The sequence below is a fragment of the Homo sapiens genome, chromosome 6 (genome assembly GCF_000001405.40).
Source record: "Homo sapiens chromosome 6, GRCh38.p14 Primary Assembly".
Taxonomy (NCBI): Eukaryota; Metazoa; Chordata; class Mammalia; order Primates; family Hominidae; genus Homo; species Homo sapiens.
The window spans coordinates 22,643,252-22,660,528 of NC_000006.12; the positions used below are offsets into that span (position 1 = coordinate 22,643,252).

General features: G+C 37.0%; 2 long non-coding RNA genes across 6 annotated transcripts in view; one reads left to right on the forward strand and one right to left on the reverse strand.

The window, feature by feature from the left end:
- Positions 1-258: 258 nt before the first annotated feature.
- Positions 259-17,277, reverse strand: part of LINC03005 (long intergenic non-protein coding RNA 3005) — a 74,415-nt gene continuing 57,396 nt past the window's right edge. Inside the window, exon 3 of one of the 2 annotated variants that reach the window (NR_134614.1) lies at positions 259-767. This is a non-coding gene — a long non-coding RNA (long intergenic non-protein coding RNA 3005). Of the gene's footprint in view, positions 768-10,908; positions 11,454-17,277 lie in introns of those variants that run through there. The other variant, NR_134613.1, reaches the window with a different exon arrangement.
- Positions 769-16,771, forward strand: LOC105374973 (uncharacterized). 4 transcript variants are annotated; one of them, XR_007059497.1, is made up of 5 exons: positions 769-975; positions 3,580-4,789; positions 10,626-11,781; positions 12,715-12,761; positions 14,679-16,771. It is a non-coding gene; the product is annotated as an uncharacterized LOC105374973 (long non-coding RNA). The 4 variants fall into 4 exon arrangements; XR_001744026.2 differs by having other exon boundaries at positions 10,626-10,870; positions 11,691-11,781; positions 12,715-16,771; XR_007059495.1 differs by having other exon boundaries at positions 12,715-16,771.

Sequence of the window (17,277 nt, forward strand, 5' to 3'; positions counted from 1 at the left end):
GAGATGAGTAAACCAGTGACAGAAATGGTACAGCTGGTGCAACCAGTCATGTGGGGATATACAAGAAATGAGGACACCGTTCTCAAATCTGCTCAAAATTGCATGCATTTCAATTTATTCCCAGGACCACGGTCTCACGTCCTCTGAATTTCACTGTTCACACAGTCCTTGGTATACTATTTTGTTAGTAAATCCTTCCTGACTCTTTGAAGAGAAGGGATAATTGTTTTCTCACAAAGAACAGGCTGACATTCAAGTGGTATTCCTCACTTCAAAGTTTATTCCGCATAAAATATCTACACTTTAGTTTATCAAGTACATGGATGTGTTACTTCTATGCAGACACTTTCAGGTTTGTGCCTATATTGGCTGTTGTTATTTTAGACTATTTTTATTAGGTGCAGTATCATATATCTAAGGTTCTTGTACTGGTTCGAACCCCGAGAGCGCGCCAACAGACAACATGAGGCGGTGGAAGCAACATGCTGTTTTAATGAGCGCCTGGGTGCAGGCGGTCTGAGGACTAAAATGGTGTCAGCCCCTAGTGAGGACAGGGCAAAGGTTTTATAGTCTCCTATAAACAGGAAGTGTCTTAGTCTGACGTAACTGCTACGTTGTACCCGGATGGCCTCTTCCTCAATCTTCAGGGGTACGCGTCTTCCGGCCAGGGTAGGTGTCTTCTGCTGGCTCTCTTCTTGCTACTGCTATTTTGCTGGTGCAGGCTGCTGGCGCGGGCTGCTGGCACAAGTTGCGCCTTGGGACTGGGCCTGAGAAGGGAGGAGTTATTCATCTCCTTAAGCTTTCAGGCCCCGGGGAGAATTTACAGTATGATATTAAGATTGTTATACACTAAGTTGGGATGATGAAATTGATATAAACAAATAGAGTTAAAAGCTACTTTAGAAATATTATTTACACTTTATGTCCCTTCTTTTTTATCCAAGATAGAAACGTTTCTGGAGAAAATAACAGAAGGTAAGATATACATTCTACAGAACAACAAAATATAAACATTCTCATTCTATGTGTCCTCATATAGCCTTATATAGAGAACTAAGTAGCTATTCAATACGATTTTGTTAAATCAAAGTTTGGTGTTGATACATGCAACAAAATCTGACCCCATGTTTATTTTCAGAGTTCAAATAGGTTTACAGTGTGAGAAGATTGGATTCAGGTCATTAAAACTGTAGGTGGATATCTCACTAATGTGCTGTATATCCATTAGTAGAGAAGCTTCTATTGACTGAGCACTTCTATCATGTAAAAGTGTTTTCTGAGCTGCTCAGTCTCTGTCAGTTAATGTCTGGGTGAAGAACTGAGGGCCTCAGGCAAGACTAAGGGCACTTGATCCCAACGGCCATTAAATATACCTGACCTGGAGGGTATTAACACTGCAGACATCTCAGGAGCGCCAAAAAAATCTGCGTAATAAAGTTTCCTTATATTTGAAGGTTCAGTTTGTGTTCCTATTTTTCCCTTGTAGAGTTTTATTCTTGTGCTAACATATGACCAATAGAAAACAACACGTGACTTATTCCATTAGGATTTATATATATATATATAATATAAATTGTATATAAATCGATAGTACTATGTAAAAAATACATTACCTATAAATCTACAGTTATATATAAAAATACTTATATACTTACAAACTATCGTATATACACTTATGTATATAAATATATGTAAATTTTATGTATGAATATATAAATACTTAGATATATACATACAAACTATTGTCTTAAGTGATCAAAACATCTTTTAAATTTAACATAGGGAAGCAACATCAAAAGGTATAATTTAGCAGAGCTTCTAAATGGAAGCTAAAGTCCCAAATGTTCCTCTTGATTTGGTGATTTACGACTTCTGTTACTCTAAATAAGTTACTTTATTTTCTTGGATATTCAGTTTCTTTACTGGTAAAGTGAAAAGCGTAATTTTTTCTTATCATGTGTTAGTACAGTTGTGAAAAATTGAGAAAGTATAAAATAGAGGCTTTTGTATTATTACACAATTTACACTGTTTATATATTAAATTGACTATTATACGTTCAATAAAAACAAATCTCCATTTTATCAACTAGTAATTTTTTCACAGATATTATTAGCTAATTAAAGTGTATGTCCACCTGGTTATATCTTCCCACATACAATATTCGAAATTTAAGTTACCATCCTGACTTCTTTGAAAATACTCACAAATCTTTTTTCTTGATACATTATATAGATATTATTGCACATGCATATTATTTATATTTATATTATTCATGATTTTACCAGACATTTAATAGAATTTAAATAAACTGCAGTGCTTTGGAAAATTTCTGTTTCTTCAGAAAACTGGAGAAACCTCTGAGAATGCTGCATTCGTAATAAATTACTGATTTTTCCTTCCCCAAGAAGAGAAATGAATACATAAAGAGTTTGAGGAACATCCTTTCCATTGGATAATCTTTACCTTTCTACTTGTTCTCTTCCAAGTATTCTAAGTAGTAGGCTCTTAGACACGACCTTGACGTCAGCAAATGATATTATTCCATGTGTGAATATGCTCCAGATTCCTCTCTCTGCTATTACAATGTGATTTTCTCACATTTTAAGGCAAAGGGACATTTTGAATGTGCTCAGACACATTTGCCCTATTCAGAGGACAGAAATTGTTGAGCTTGAAGGAAATCTTTTTTTTCCTATATAGCTGCCCAATCCAGAAATGTTCAGCTGCAGATCCTGGCCTCTCCACACTTAATTCACAAGCCCAGAAGTGCAAATGCTTCTTTAACAAGGGAATGCGAACCTGCTGCTAAACTGAAATATGAGAACATTTCTACTCTTTTTATAATTTTCTTGGTTAGTTCATATCCATGCCCTCAGTGTTTTTGTTTATTTGTTTGTTTGTTTTTTGTTTGTTTGTTTGTTTTTGAGACGGAGTCTCACTCTTTTTGCCCATGCTGGAGTGTGGTGGCACGACCTCGGCTCACTGCAACTTCTGCCTCCCGGGTTCGAGCGATTCTTCTGCCTCAGCCTCCCGAGTAGAGTAGCTGGGATTATAGGCGCCCGCCACCACACCCGACTAATTTTTGTATTTTTAGTAGAGACGGGCTTTCACCATGTTGGCCCGGCTGGTATCGATACCTGACCTCAGGTGATCCGGCCCGCCTCAGCCTCCCAAAGTGCCGGGATTACAGGCGTGGGCCACTGTGCTCGGCCGGCCCTCAGTATTTTTATTTCAGATATTTAATAAGACATTTTGGTTAATTATTCTATAGCTAAATAAATTCTCTTTAATTTGCCCATCACTGTTAACTTAAACAGTTTTTCTTTTCCCCTCAATAAATGATAGCTTTCTTTCATCTTTGGTCATATTTGGTGTTGAAGCCTGTTTTCCATAATATTGATAAAAGTGAGTAAAATGCAGAAATGCTGCAGGTTTACTTTAGTTTGGCTTTAAGGATAAGAGTAAGAGGCGGAAGGGGGTTCAAAGCTTTTCATTTTATGGTACTGCTTTGTAAAATGGACCTTGCCTGTCATGCAATGTCATAATGGCATGATTGGCCTGCTTCTATTTTCCTATAGACATGGCAGGAGAAATGATTGAGAGCTTTTCCAGTTTGGCATGGAAACAAAGCAAAGCAATTTCAGTGTGGTAACAAGACTAAGGAGGAGACAGATGCTGTGCGGGCAACAGTACCAGAGCTAAGGGATGAGAAACTTCTCCATAAGATGTCCCTTTATTGCTCCAGCAGCTATTATGGGCTGCGTCTCCCCAAGCATGGCAGCTCACCACTGTGGAACCCTAAATAGAATGACACTCAGTGTTGAATGGCAAGGCCTCTGGTCATAAATAAGATAAGCCGAAAGACATTTGATGGTTATCACAGAAATGGACTTTCCTTACTTGGAATTTTCCTGCCTAAACATCCACAGGGAAAAGCTACATGTTGGGACTTCATAATTCATTTCAAGCATTTTGTTTGCAAATCTCAAAGCTTGATTTTTTTTCTAAGTTTGCAGGTACTTCAATATTTGTATTTCCATTTCAGATTTTTAAAATTCATTGCTTTAAAGAACTACATCTGAAGAACAATGTTTAGCTCTTTATTTATTATTGTATTTTATTTATCTAAAGACCAATATGTTGCTTCCTACTGATAACATCAGATGAATATTATCGTGAAGTTAAATTAGCTTCTTCAACAGTGAGCTCTGTGGAATAGATGCACCTTTCCTTCTAGTGTGACCATTTGAGATGGAACAGACCAGAGGATTTTCCATCCCATTGCTAGAATATGTTTCTGTGACAAAGTTCTAGCAAGTTTTAGTCCGTAATCCATTTCAAGAGAAATTCCCATTTCTGTTTTTTTTTCAATTATGTCTTTTAACTTATATTTTCTGGATCTTATTCCATTTGAGTGAAATGTGAATAGATGAAGAGATGTGGTATCAGAGCTCATTAAACAAAACTTTTCTGGTAACATGTTTCATCCTATTTAGTTATTTGAATTCAGATAAGCTTAAAGGAAAAGAACAAAACAAAGCTATAAAGAAAATTGGAAGTTATTCATTGTCATTCATCATAAACAAGCTCAGAGGCTGGGATATTTGGCACGATGACAATGAAACTGCAGGAAATTGAGCACACTCCAATGTTGGTGAGGACGGTCCATCCATTCTGCATATGTCTGCGTCTTTGGGACTTAGAGTCTGGCAAGTAGAAGAGGGATTTCATCTTGTTGGAAAATATAAGTTGGAAAATCAACCCACATGAAATTGCAGAAGCCAAGGGGTGAGTGTTCTAGAAAGTGTCTAATTCTTTCTTTGCTTTTAGCTAGGCTGCATTACATGATTCTATGTGTTCATTATTTTTGGACACTTTCTAAAGAGTAGCTAGAATTGTAAAGACACTACTAAGGTGATAATTTAAAAACTATGCTGTCATTCATATCAATTAAAAATAAACTCAGGTATAAGACTTGGCCCAACTTTCTATTTTCTTGCTGAAATTGATTGTTTAATTTCATTTTTGTTAGTTGAATATGTTTGGGTTTCTCTATGGTGCATCTAATAAGATTTTGTGTCCACATTGTGAGGCTTTATGGCCTTTCTCCTTTCAGTATTTCAGTGTGTTTATGGTTGCTGCTCATGTTTAACCTGCTACTCTTAACTTTTAGCAGTGGGAATTAAGAGTTCAGGCATCTGAATCTATTTAAATATCAAAACTCTGGGAAGCTTCTCTGATAACCAAATCACATTTATCCATGCACTTGTTCTGAGCAGCAGTTGAAGTTAGGTGATATTTTACTTAGTGATCCTTATATAGCATTTATTATTTATTAAGCTCAGTTTTCAGTTTTTTTTACAAGTGTTAGTTTATTTAATCTGCATAACAAAGTCGTTAGAAGGTATTATTTGTATTCATAATTTTCAGATGAGGTAATTTAGGTGCAGAGAAGTTTAAGCACTTGTTCACATTCACACAAGAGCAAGTGTTAGAGTAAGGATTTAAGCTTAACCAGGATAGTTCTGGGGGGTACTAGGTTGACCACTACACCAATGCCTGTTAACCTTGATTTGCTGACCATCATGATAATTATGAAGTCAAAACAAGGAATAAACTTAGTAATTTAGTCAAATAGACTTTAATGAGGAAGCAGGTTTAAAACAAATGGTCAGTAAACACTTTTTGGGCACGTAATATACACCAAGCAATATGCCTCCTAGCAGAATGGCATTGAATGGCAAAGCTAGGTCCTCAGGAAGAGTGGCTGTCCAGGAATGGACCAGGTGGAATTAATCATATTAAATCCTATATTTAAAATTACTCTGTTCACTGTATTTTGTTGATAATCAATACAAGAAATATGGATCTAATCTTTCCAAATTGTAATTTGGGAGAATTTTATAAGAAGTGCCACTCTAATGTTTATTCTGGTAGCACTAGTAACTGAGGCTTTAGAAATAAATTGAGATTCCAATGCTATAAAATAACACTCTCAAATGTTTTGGTCTCAGGATTTCTTTACATGCTAGGAAATTTTTGAGAATAACCCCCCACCCCCCGCCAAAAAAGAAAGCTTTTGTTAATGTGGGTCATAGCTCTCAATATTTATATTAGAAATTAAAATAGAAAATTTTTAAAGTATTTAATTACTAATTCACTCTAAAGTGACAGTAATAATCCCATTGCATCTTGACACAAATGGCATATTTTAATAAGAAATAACTTTTTCAAAACAACAAAAAAATGAGCGACATTTGCTATGGTTTGGATAAAATTTGTTTGTCCCCACCAAAACTCATGTTGAAATTTGATCCTCAATGTGCCAGTGTTGGGAAGTGGGCCTAGTGGGAGGTATTTGGGTTATGAAGGTGGATTCCCCGTTAATGGTTCTGTGCTGTTCTGGTAGTAGTGCGTTCTCACTCCATTTTTTTTTTTTAAACACAGGGTCTCACTCTCTCATCCATGCTGGAGCATGGGGGTACAATCATAGCTCACTGCAACCTTGAACTCCTGGGCTCAAAGGATCCTTCCAGTTCATCCCCCTCTGAGTAGCTCGGATTACAGGCATACACCACCACGCCTGGCTGAGTTCTCAATCTTGAAAGATTGATTTAGTTCTCATGTAAATGAATTAGTTCCTGTGGTAGTGGGTTGTTATAAAGCCAGGATGCCCTTCGGTTTTCTCCTCTTCACACATGTCTACTTTCCCATTGCCCTTCTCCACCATGTTGTGATGTGGCATGAAAGTCCTGTCCAGAAGCCAGGGCCATGCCCTCGAATTTCTCAGTCTGTGGAACCATGAGCTAAATAAACTTCCTTTAAAATAAGTTTTTAGGTATTCTGCTATAAGCAACACAAAAGGTACTAATACAGCATTGTTTTAAATTTGTATGAATTTCTTTATTGTGTGGCTTAATAGAAAGCTAGATTCTTAGGTTTGTTTCTCTAAACATTCTGTTATAATCTTACACATTAAACTCTGGAAAACTCTGTTGTACACTTGTGAGAGAATGAGAGTGAAACAGAGAAATTAGCATCTTGGTTTATTATAAAAATAGTTTGGATCTTTTGAAACCTTTAAAGAGTCTTAGGAAACCCTGTGGTTCTCTGGCCGTGCTTTGAGAACCACTGGTATAGGGTAAATCCACTGCCAAGTTAATCTTTTGTTATGCTATATGTTTTAGCTTGTTTTCATCTACTATTCTCTGAATTTGAGCTTCAGCATTTCAACGTATTGATTATGATTTTCGCTTTTTTTTTTTTTTTTTGAGACAAAGTTTTGCTCTTGTTGCCCAGGCTGGAGTGCAGTGGCGTGATCTTGGCTCACTGCCAACCTCCGCCTCCTGGATTCAAGTGATTCTCCTGCCTCAGCCTCCTGAGTAGCTGGGATTACAGGCACATGCCACCACGCCTGGCTAATTTGTGTATTTTTGGTAGAGACGGGGTATCATCATGTTGGCCAGACGGTATCGAACTCCTTATTTCAGGTGACCTGCCCACCTCGACCTCCCAAAGTGCTGCCCACCTTGACCTCCCAAAGTGCTGGGATTACAGATGTGAGCCACTGTGCCTGGTTGATTATGATTTTCAAATACCAGGTGACTCCTGCCTAGCATTGGTATATTTTATATATATTAAATGTCCATGAATTTTAAAAAATTTAAATGAAAGCACATGACAGTCTCAAGTACTCCAACACTTGAGAAGCTACAATATGGTGTACAGTGCACACAAGGTGATTTGAGCATCAGATAAATTGAGACAGACAGAAAGTGTTAGATGTATATGTAACTATAAGCATCTATGTTTGGCTTAATAAAAACACAATGTTTCTTATGTATTGTCCTGTAATTAACAGTTTAATACTTTCCTATTAACCAGTCTACCTGGACTCATTTTTTTTTTATTTTTAATAATCTGCAGAGGTGGGTATATTGATCAAATTAGTAATGGCAACACTACTCTTTCACAATTTTGAAAATAGTGTCTAGGTTGGAATAGCCAACGAAATAGTAGATATTTATAATTTTTGCAATGCTTTTAAATGTGTTGTTAATACTCGTTTGACTAGTTGACTTTATTGTGGCTGAAATGCAGGCTCAAAAGTAGTAAGAGGCACTTACTGTTTCTAAGTTCTATTATGGGGTGTGAAGGTCCTTTAGTTTTCCCAAGGTCTGATAGGCATGGGGGCTTTTAATTTCACGTGGGATGCTTACAAATCGTCTTCTATTTACACGTAGCTTTTGAAGTAATTATTTTCCCTTTTAGTGTCCAAATCTCTCAAGCAAAGAGGCTTTTTAGTAAAAATTGTGATTTAAAGAGAATAATTGTTTCAGAAGAGTAGTGAAAAATGTTCAAATTGACATTTTGAAGGAAAGCACAAACAAAAGAAATTAATTTTATTTCAAGAAAAGAGAAAAAGTTTTTTCCCATAACATAGTAAACATTTTGGCAAAGAAAATAGCAAGTATGAGTACATGCATGTGTATGTGTGTGTGCCCTTTTCAAGAGAAGTTGACACTAAGATGATGCTTCAGATGCCAGAGTGAAGAGGTTTCTAGTTGAAACATTTAATTATTATCCAAATAGGGTAGAGAAACAAAGTCTAATTTCTTTCCTGTATTTGGAAGTGCTTGGTGTGGATAAGAAGTCTGAGTGACAGCTGCAACTGCCAAGCAACCTCATACAATGGGAGTATTCTGCTTCTCAGTTACCGAAGGAGACTCTAAGGCCTTCTCCCACGTTTGGAGGCAAGGAGTCCTCTTCTTCTTTGGCATCTTCCATTAGCAGTTTTAAGAGAGTTTGTTACCCATTTTCAAAAGTATGTTCGTAAAGATGGTGAATGCTAAAGAATGACTTAAAATATATATACATTAACATAGAGCAAACTATAACAAAGTAGGGTAAATAAATGCATTTTAAATTAATAACTTTTTCTTTTTTTCTCCTTTTTTTGATCAGGTGCATTTATTCCTTTTTGTTGTTGTTGTTGTTGTTATTACTTCTGCTTTTGTTTTTGAGACAAGATCTCATTCTCTCACCCAGGCTGGAGTGCAGTGGCGTGATCTCTCGGCTCACTGCAGCCTGGACCCCCCGGGCTCAAGTGATCCTCCTACCTCAGGCTCTTGACTAGCTGGGACTACAGATACATGCCACCACACCTGGCTAATTTTTTGTATTTTTGGTAGAGATGAGGTTTCACTATGTTGCCCAGGGTGGTCTCGAACTCCCAAGCTCAAGTGGTCCACCTGCCTCAGCCTCCTAAAGTGCTGGAATTATAGGCATGAGGCACCATGACTGGCTTATTTGCTGTGTTTAGACATGGATCTGAAGTTTCTATAGTCTGAAGTTTTTCTTTAAAATTAGCAGTAGATTTGAGCTTGTAGAAATAAACCCCTTTCCGGCCAATTGCTAAAATGCAATATTTAATAATTAAGTCAAATTGTGCTCCAAAGTAGATGTTAACTATACTCTGTTGATGAGTTGGAACACAATGTGAGCTTGAGCCATTCATTCTGGCCAATCAATAACAATCAATTATGGAAGCCAAATCAATCACACAGCAGAACACACCGATGGTTAGGGTTAGGATGGTCAGAATGAAGAAAGAGGCAATGGTGGGGTGGATTTCACATGTATAAACATAGTCAAAAGTAATAAGGAACTCTACCATGCATTGGGACACAATACATATATCTTGATGTGGAGTATAGTTTGTAAAAATAGTATTTCTACTTGAGTTTTGGAGTTAGATTTTTACACAAACATTCTATCCTGACAAGGAATCATATCTGAAAGTTAATATAAAAAGGAGTCCCTGAACTAATGAGACCTGTCAAAGTGAGGCAAATACATACTTCTGCTTATTTTGAAACTTTATTATGAAGTAATGATTTTTTTTTTTTTTTTTTGAGGCGGAGTTTCACTCTTGTTGCCCAGGCTGGAGTGCAATGGTGCGATCTCAGCTCACCACAACCTCTGCCTCCCAGGTTCAAGTGATTCTTCTGCCTCAGCCTCCCGAGTAGCTGGAATTACGGGCATGTGCCACCACGCCTGGCTAATTTTGTATTTTTAGTAGAGATGGGGTTTCTCCATGTTGGTCAGGCTGGTCTCAAACTCTCGACCTCAGGTGATCTGACTGCTTTGGCCTCCCAAAGTGCTGCGATTACAGGCATGAGCCACTGCGCCCAGCCAGTAATGATGTTTTGTAATGTAACATCTCAGGTAAGCATACATATAAAATTATAAAATACTTTTATTAATCAAAGAATTCATTTATGTATAAGTGCTTTCCACTCTAACCAAAACTGTAACAATTCCCCAAAAGTCGCCAAAGAGGAGCACAATAGTGATTCTTGTGGAAGTAAAATCAAATCATTTATTATTCAGAAGGGTGGCAGATTTACCAATACAGAAAGTTTCTGTCCCAAAATGTCCATTCTTTTGTAGCACTTGTTCTAATATTTAAATTTTTTTTCTATTGCTCATAGTAAGTTAACTGTTGTCACTTAAGATTTGAACAACTCACCTTCAGATATTTTGGTTTCTCTAAGTAAAATTATGCCATGATACAGAACATTAGGTTTGCTCTTACATTCTTATGATTTTGAATTTATTTTAGGTTTCACTGATGGAAAAATGGAGAAGGAAGATCTGATGAAACAGCAAGTCCTTAAGAGTGGGAGCCAGAAGTTTAAGTTGTAACAGGTTTTGGATAAGATTCAGAACTTAGAGGATAACGAACTGCAGAAAAATTCTTTGGAAGATAATGACTAGAGAAAAATTCTGGGTCAAAGGCAGCTATTGTGGTGCATAGTTATTCAGATTTCAAATTTGAAAAGAAATCATTGTTTCATAGGCCGAAAGGTGAGCCACTGGTATCTGTCATCAGCAAACAGGAAACATGAAGAAGAAGTACATTTATTCTATAGGTTGCAACACACAGTACAAATATACCATTAGAATACCTAAAATGCAAGATGAATCAGTCCCGTGAATTGAAACTTTGATTTTGTTCTTGAGCTAGTAAAGTTTACAGAGTTCTATGAGGAAGGACATCTGTAAAATATCTTACAATACGTTGTCTTCTATTTTGAGAGAAAGGGAAAGTATCTTTGCACTGTGAATATACCCTTTGTATTATTAACTGTGAGGACATGACAAGGCTAAACAATTGCTTCTTTCTTGTCAAAGTTTCGTTTGCTTTGGTTAGTGCCATTGTTTGAGAAAATTAAACAAGTTTCCATGTTTTAGGCTTCTTGACGTTTTTTGATGTTCCACTTAACTGCAGTGGAATAACTCGATGGAACAATTCAAGGCAGCTGTGCTCTGATCCTCAGTTGCCCTCCAAGGATAACATGACACATTTGATAAACACATTTCCTTTAACACCAAGTTCTCCAGGTCAGGCAGGCATAGCATATAGATGAAACTGATCTGAGCCTTCATCCTGAGGGAGAAGAGGGTTAGAGATGAAGGTAAACCTGGATCCCGGTTTTAACCCTGCAACATACTAGTCTCCTGAACTTGAGTATTTGTAAGTACAGAATCTGAGATTAGCTTTGCCCATGGCTTTCCACACATTGATATTTGATGGGACCTGACCCTTAAATAATCCCAAGTCATAGAAAAAGAATTTTGTGGAATAGTTGCACAGAGCATTTGCTTACTCAGTTCTGTTGCCCAGGAGCCCAAACGGTAGAGGGAGGAGAATGTGAATTCTGGAATTAGGAAGACTTGAGCTTGATTTCACCTTCTGCCATTGAACAACTGCTGAGGTTAGTTTCCTATACTCTTTGAGTCCCAGACCCTTATCTCTAAAATTTAGAATAATAATATCTACCTCACAGGATTGTTAAGAATGCTAATTGAGATTGAATATGTAAAGTACATGGCACAAAACATTCAATAAATATTAGTACTATTTAATTTAGCCTAAGGGTCTTGCTGGGTTTTTAGAGATGCTTTCCTGCCTCTTGTTGGCTCTACTGTTTACATAATTACTCTTTATTTTTCCTTTTCTCTAAAATGTTATTAATGTTTCAGTAAATCTTTTTTATATTGAAAACAATTTCTTATATAAAGTGGAACATATTGGGGGGAACTTTTCAGTAGTCATCCCGTAGGCTAAAGAAACAAAGAAACAAAAAAGATAGATGTTTTACATGTTTTTATTCTGTTGATGAGCCTCTGAGAAGATTGTTCCAGGTTCTGACACAGTCTCACCCAGGACCAAGATGGTTTTCTTCACTTTCCAACCCAATGATCTTTTAGTTTTAATATGAGTAAATCTAAGCATTGAAATACAGCATTTCCCACATAATTGTTTTTATACATTTAATATTTTAGCTCATGCAGAAAGGGGAGTTTCTGGAAACCATGCCTAAAGTGACCATCTATTGTAATCCTTGGAGAGTGTGACAATAAAAATTGTCTTGAACATTTATGTATAGCTTCTGGAAGGAGGCAGGAAAGACATCCTTAACCAACTAATAGAACTTTCACTTTTAAGGATCTGCAGTGCAGGTGATTAATTAGTAAAAATGGGCCCTGATACAAAGTCAACTTAGGGTCCACTGGATACTGCAACAAAGGACTTTTATTGTTTCTTCTTGAGTAGGGAAACAGATTTGCCTAATCAAAGACCAGATTCTTTCTTAGCAGTAAGGGAAAGAAAGTAGGTAATACTTTTTGTTTGTTTTTCCCTTCAGTAATGGAGAAAGCTCACAAAAGAAGAGAAGGGACATGCTTCACTCAGGTAGGCAATATTGCTTCTTTAACCCCAGGTGCAGCTATAGAGGCTTCCAAGTATATTAAGGTAAGAAGGCATTTGAGAATGGAGTTTACGCTGCAGGTACCCATGTCTTCCCGCATACTCCGGAGACTAGATTTGGGTTTGAATCGATTCTGTGGCTTTCTTTTACAAATTTCACTCCAGCCTAACATTGTCTCAACATTGTCCTCGCCCACTACCAATAATTTCCACTTTAGTAACAACATTCAACTATTCTTGAGAATAGCTGAGCCTCAAATTGGGTAACACCACCTCATAGTGTCATAGAACTGAGATCCCGTGACCCTACCAACCTATAGGTGTGCAGTGCATCAGCTGCTGCAACTTGTTACCCAACTGCTGCCTCTGGTCAATTAACAAAAATAAACTTCTTTCATAAAGGCAACTTGTTGGCAAAGATTTTCTTACTTAGTAAGTCTTTCCACCTCTGGTATTATAACAGAGAGGCCAAAACAAAATTAAAATTAAGATTGTCATCAGTAAGTTCTCAGGGTTAAGTACGTATACCGCTTTTGAGTTATCTTTAAAACAACTTAAGCCAAATCCTCCCTTAAAAATAATGGTTTGAATTAAATCTCATGTCTCCCAACCTGCAATCCATGATGAACAAGCTGAACTACAGCCTTAAACAACAGAGAAATCCTTGGAACCAACATTTAATTAAAAAGACCATTAGACGGTGCCTCATTGGAAGCACAGAACATGCTTAAATGAATTTTTCAATATGTAGATAAATGTTTTACCATTAGGGTTTCTTAAAGGAAGTAAAAATTGGCAACTCATTAAGAGTGTACATAGGTACTATAAACAGACAACAAAGTGCCTCTGGCATGTTTCATGATTTAGACATCAAAAGAAAAAGTCATAAAATCTACTTGCAGTAAAACAAAGTCCATTTTTCCTCAACAAGGCTGGTATCTATTAGCTACCTCATATGTGGAGAAAGAAAAGTTACCAGTCCTTTAATCAGATATATCTGAAATGTTTTGGGAATAAATATGAAATAGCGAAGAGTGTATGTATTTGATGTTTTCTATTTTTTACACTATACAAATGAGAATGACCTTGGTGGTTTAAAACATTCATCCTCTCTGTTTCTAATAATACCTACAATCAGTTGTGTGTATTAAAAGCTTTGTTAATAATCTACAAGTGGTAGGTGACCTCAGCATTTAGTTCTGTGGTTTAAAGCATGACCAAGATTGTGTTTTTGTTTTCCCCATTTTACAGCTAAAAAGTATGATGTTAAAAATACTGACAAAAACGAGTTGTTGCTATAAATATGTGAATCAAATGGGAATTTTCTGGACTTTGTTATTATGAACATTGCACAAAGAAAAAGCCAATGCATCACACCAGAATGTCAGTGGGATAGAGTACTGAGCCAAAGGAAAAGGGCAAAGAGCCCACTTTGGTACACCTGGAGTAGATTACACACATGGGGTTGATCTTTCCCTTGAAGCCAAAAAGCTCTGGTAATGTGCTCTCCACAGTACATGATAGAGCAGGGTAAAGCTGGAAATTAATCACCCAGTGCTACCAGAGCAGTTCATTACATGCAATTGACAGCTTCCTCTCTGTATTTTTAGATGGCTAAGAATCAAGTAGTTGCACATCAAAATGTGATTTTTTTTCTTGCTTCTTGGCACAGGACCCGTATCTGTCATCATTTCATGTCCTCAAAGGCCTGAGAGAAGCTGCCATCCTTGGGCAACAAAGGATGCCATGCAAAGCAGCTCAGAACTTGAGTTGTTTCAACAGATGCTGTTTTATGTTTTGCCAAAGAATGGCCCCTTTTATTTCTGTCATGAATGCAGTCTTTCTTTCAGTTTCTAAATGTTTGCCAGTATTAACCCTAATCCTTATCTGTCATTCTTTTAGGATGATGGGCTGTCCTTTTTCCTTTGGAACCAGCATAACCTTCACCATGTAAATATGGATTGCAAAGAAATGGAAACGTGGTGCTGTTCACCTTACAGCCCCTGATGATTTCTTATAGTGGGGGAGAGGGGGATTGCACTTCAAGGTCAGAGTAGCTGAGCCACGTTATTCCAGTGTAAGAAAAAATGCTAACATTGAAATGAGCAATTTTCCCCTGTAAAGATTCTCTGCCTAGGGGAATAGAAAGATCAGAAAAGGGAGCTGGTGGAGGAAAGAACTAGAATAAACAAAGCAAGCTCAGAACAATTTATTCCTATGTTTGTTTACTGAAATAGAACCAGGAAGGACCGATGAAGGTCTGAATTAATGTAATTTATAAGAAGAGAGGCTCCCCTCCAAGGCAATGAAGTGATCTCTTTCCAAATATGTAACCAGGAGTGGCTCCCTATAAACCCAAGGCATGTCAGGGCAAAGATGGTATTCCAGATCTTTACAGCCTCCCCACTTTTTGCCTCAGAGAGAGTTCCTAATTCACCATTTAGGGATTCAGAATTGTTAATCAAACTTGCTCTGATGAAATTTTGAGGGTTGTTCTGTTTCTTGTCACAAGTTGAATTGTTCAAAAGCACTGCATCACAGATCTGATTTTCCGCATTGCGCTAGCATTTTCTTACCTTGGGGCAGGCAAAGGGCTAGTCAAACTTTAAAATTGGAACTTCTTCCATTTTTTTCCCTCAGAGCATTTGAAGTTTTTTTGTTTTGTCTGTTTGCTTTGTGTCTGTTACATTTCTCTATTTTGCTTTTCAAGTGCAAAACTACTGTGCTGGAGATGATAGAGGGGATACATAAAGGGGGAAAATACATGCTCAAGGAAGTTCACAGAGTGGATACTCTATATCCAATAATAACAGTGAGGAAAGAAAGAATGCAGTTGAAGATATGAGGGGCAGAGTAATACAGAGATTTTCACAGATTTAGAGGATTGCTGCCCAAATCCTTCTGTTTCTCTCTTTTTGTTCCTAGTGAGAGTTGTTAAAATAGCTAACATCAACATGCCTATTCTGCACAGAGGAAGGATATATGAAGAAAGCAAGAAACCACTAGCCTATGTGCAGGGTGATATGCCTTACAGCCATGCTCAGTTACTATTTTTGATCGTGGGCCTAGAAATAACCATCTGGGCAATCAGACTTTTGCATTGACATGCAATGTTGGCTAAATCCACAGGCAGCTGGCTGAGTACTATTTAAACTCAGTGCTGAGATGGGAGTAGGCCCTGACAGGCAGTAGTTAGGGGACACTCATCTATTCTACCCATGTCAACAGTAATGATACTGTAATTCTTTCCAAAATGTGGTCCTTTTTGCTATGTTTTGACAAGCTGGCTGTTATTCTAACTTTCTGTATTATTGGAAACACACAGACTAGACATTGATACACATATATGCATATGCATGTGTTTATATGGCTGTATACAGTTATGGAAGAATCCATGAGAGTCAATCATCCATATTTATTAAGTATGTACACTATGCAAAGCACTTTATTGTGTGATATAGAAAAATATGGAAAAATTGTAAGCACACTAAGTCCAGGAGAGGTTGATTCACCTATTTTCCAGAACCTCACTTTGTGTTTCTATTAAGTGACGTATAGGGATCTGGTGGCATCCAATATCATTTCTAGGTCTTTAATTCTATGATTCCATCATTTTGGATGGAAATTAAATATACTGTTAAAGACATATGGACTGGATTCATGGTTACAAGCATAAGCTTTGGTGTCAGATTCATTTTAAATACAAGTGCGGCTTCTGCCACTTTAAAGTTCTATGACCCTGTGGCATTTATTAAATTGGGCTTTAGTATCCCCAACTATAAAATAGGAAATTGTAATTGTGATCTATCTCATAGGGTTGTTTTATATATTGAATGTGATAAAGCATGTAAAGCATTTTTCAGAAATTGTGGTAAAGGACAATTATTACAAAAATGTTAGCGCTTTTATGCTATCATGATGGTAGTTATAGAAGCATTGAAAACTGGGAAAAGTAAGTCAGCAGAACTCAATAAACTTGATTCCTTTGCACTGCCTTTTTTGTTGGAAAACTGTTGACTGGATAGATTTTTTTCCTCTCCTGGGGGAAAAGTGAAGTTGTGAATTTCTTTGTACATTTCAGAAGTAAATGAGACGATCTCATGTATAAATCACTGAATTCATATTAGTTCTAATCATTCCCACAAATACATCCAGGCTTTATGTGAGGCAAATACATGCATTTATTGAATCAGTTCATTAGCAGTGAAGATATATGTATATGTATATGTGTATAAACACATAAAATCGTTTTGGCATTTGTATGTTCATAGGAAAGAGCCAGGAACTATGGATAGATTAGAAGTCAGAAAATGCAGGTTTAAGCAGAGCTCTGATACTAACTTGCAGTGTCATTGTGGATAAGTTACTTAATCTTTCTAATCTCAGTTTACTTCTTTGTGCAACTAGGGCTTTACCTATTAACTGGTCTCAGCTCTAACACTGCTGTGAAGTCTCATGACTCTTTGTCAACAATAGCTCCATGAATGATAACCTAAGATAA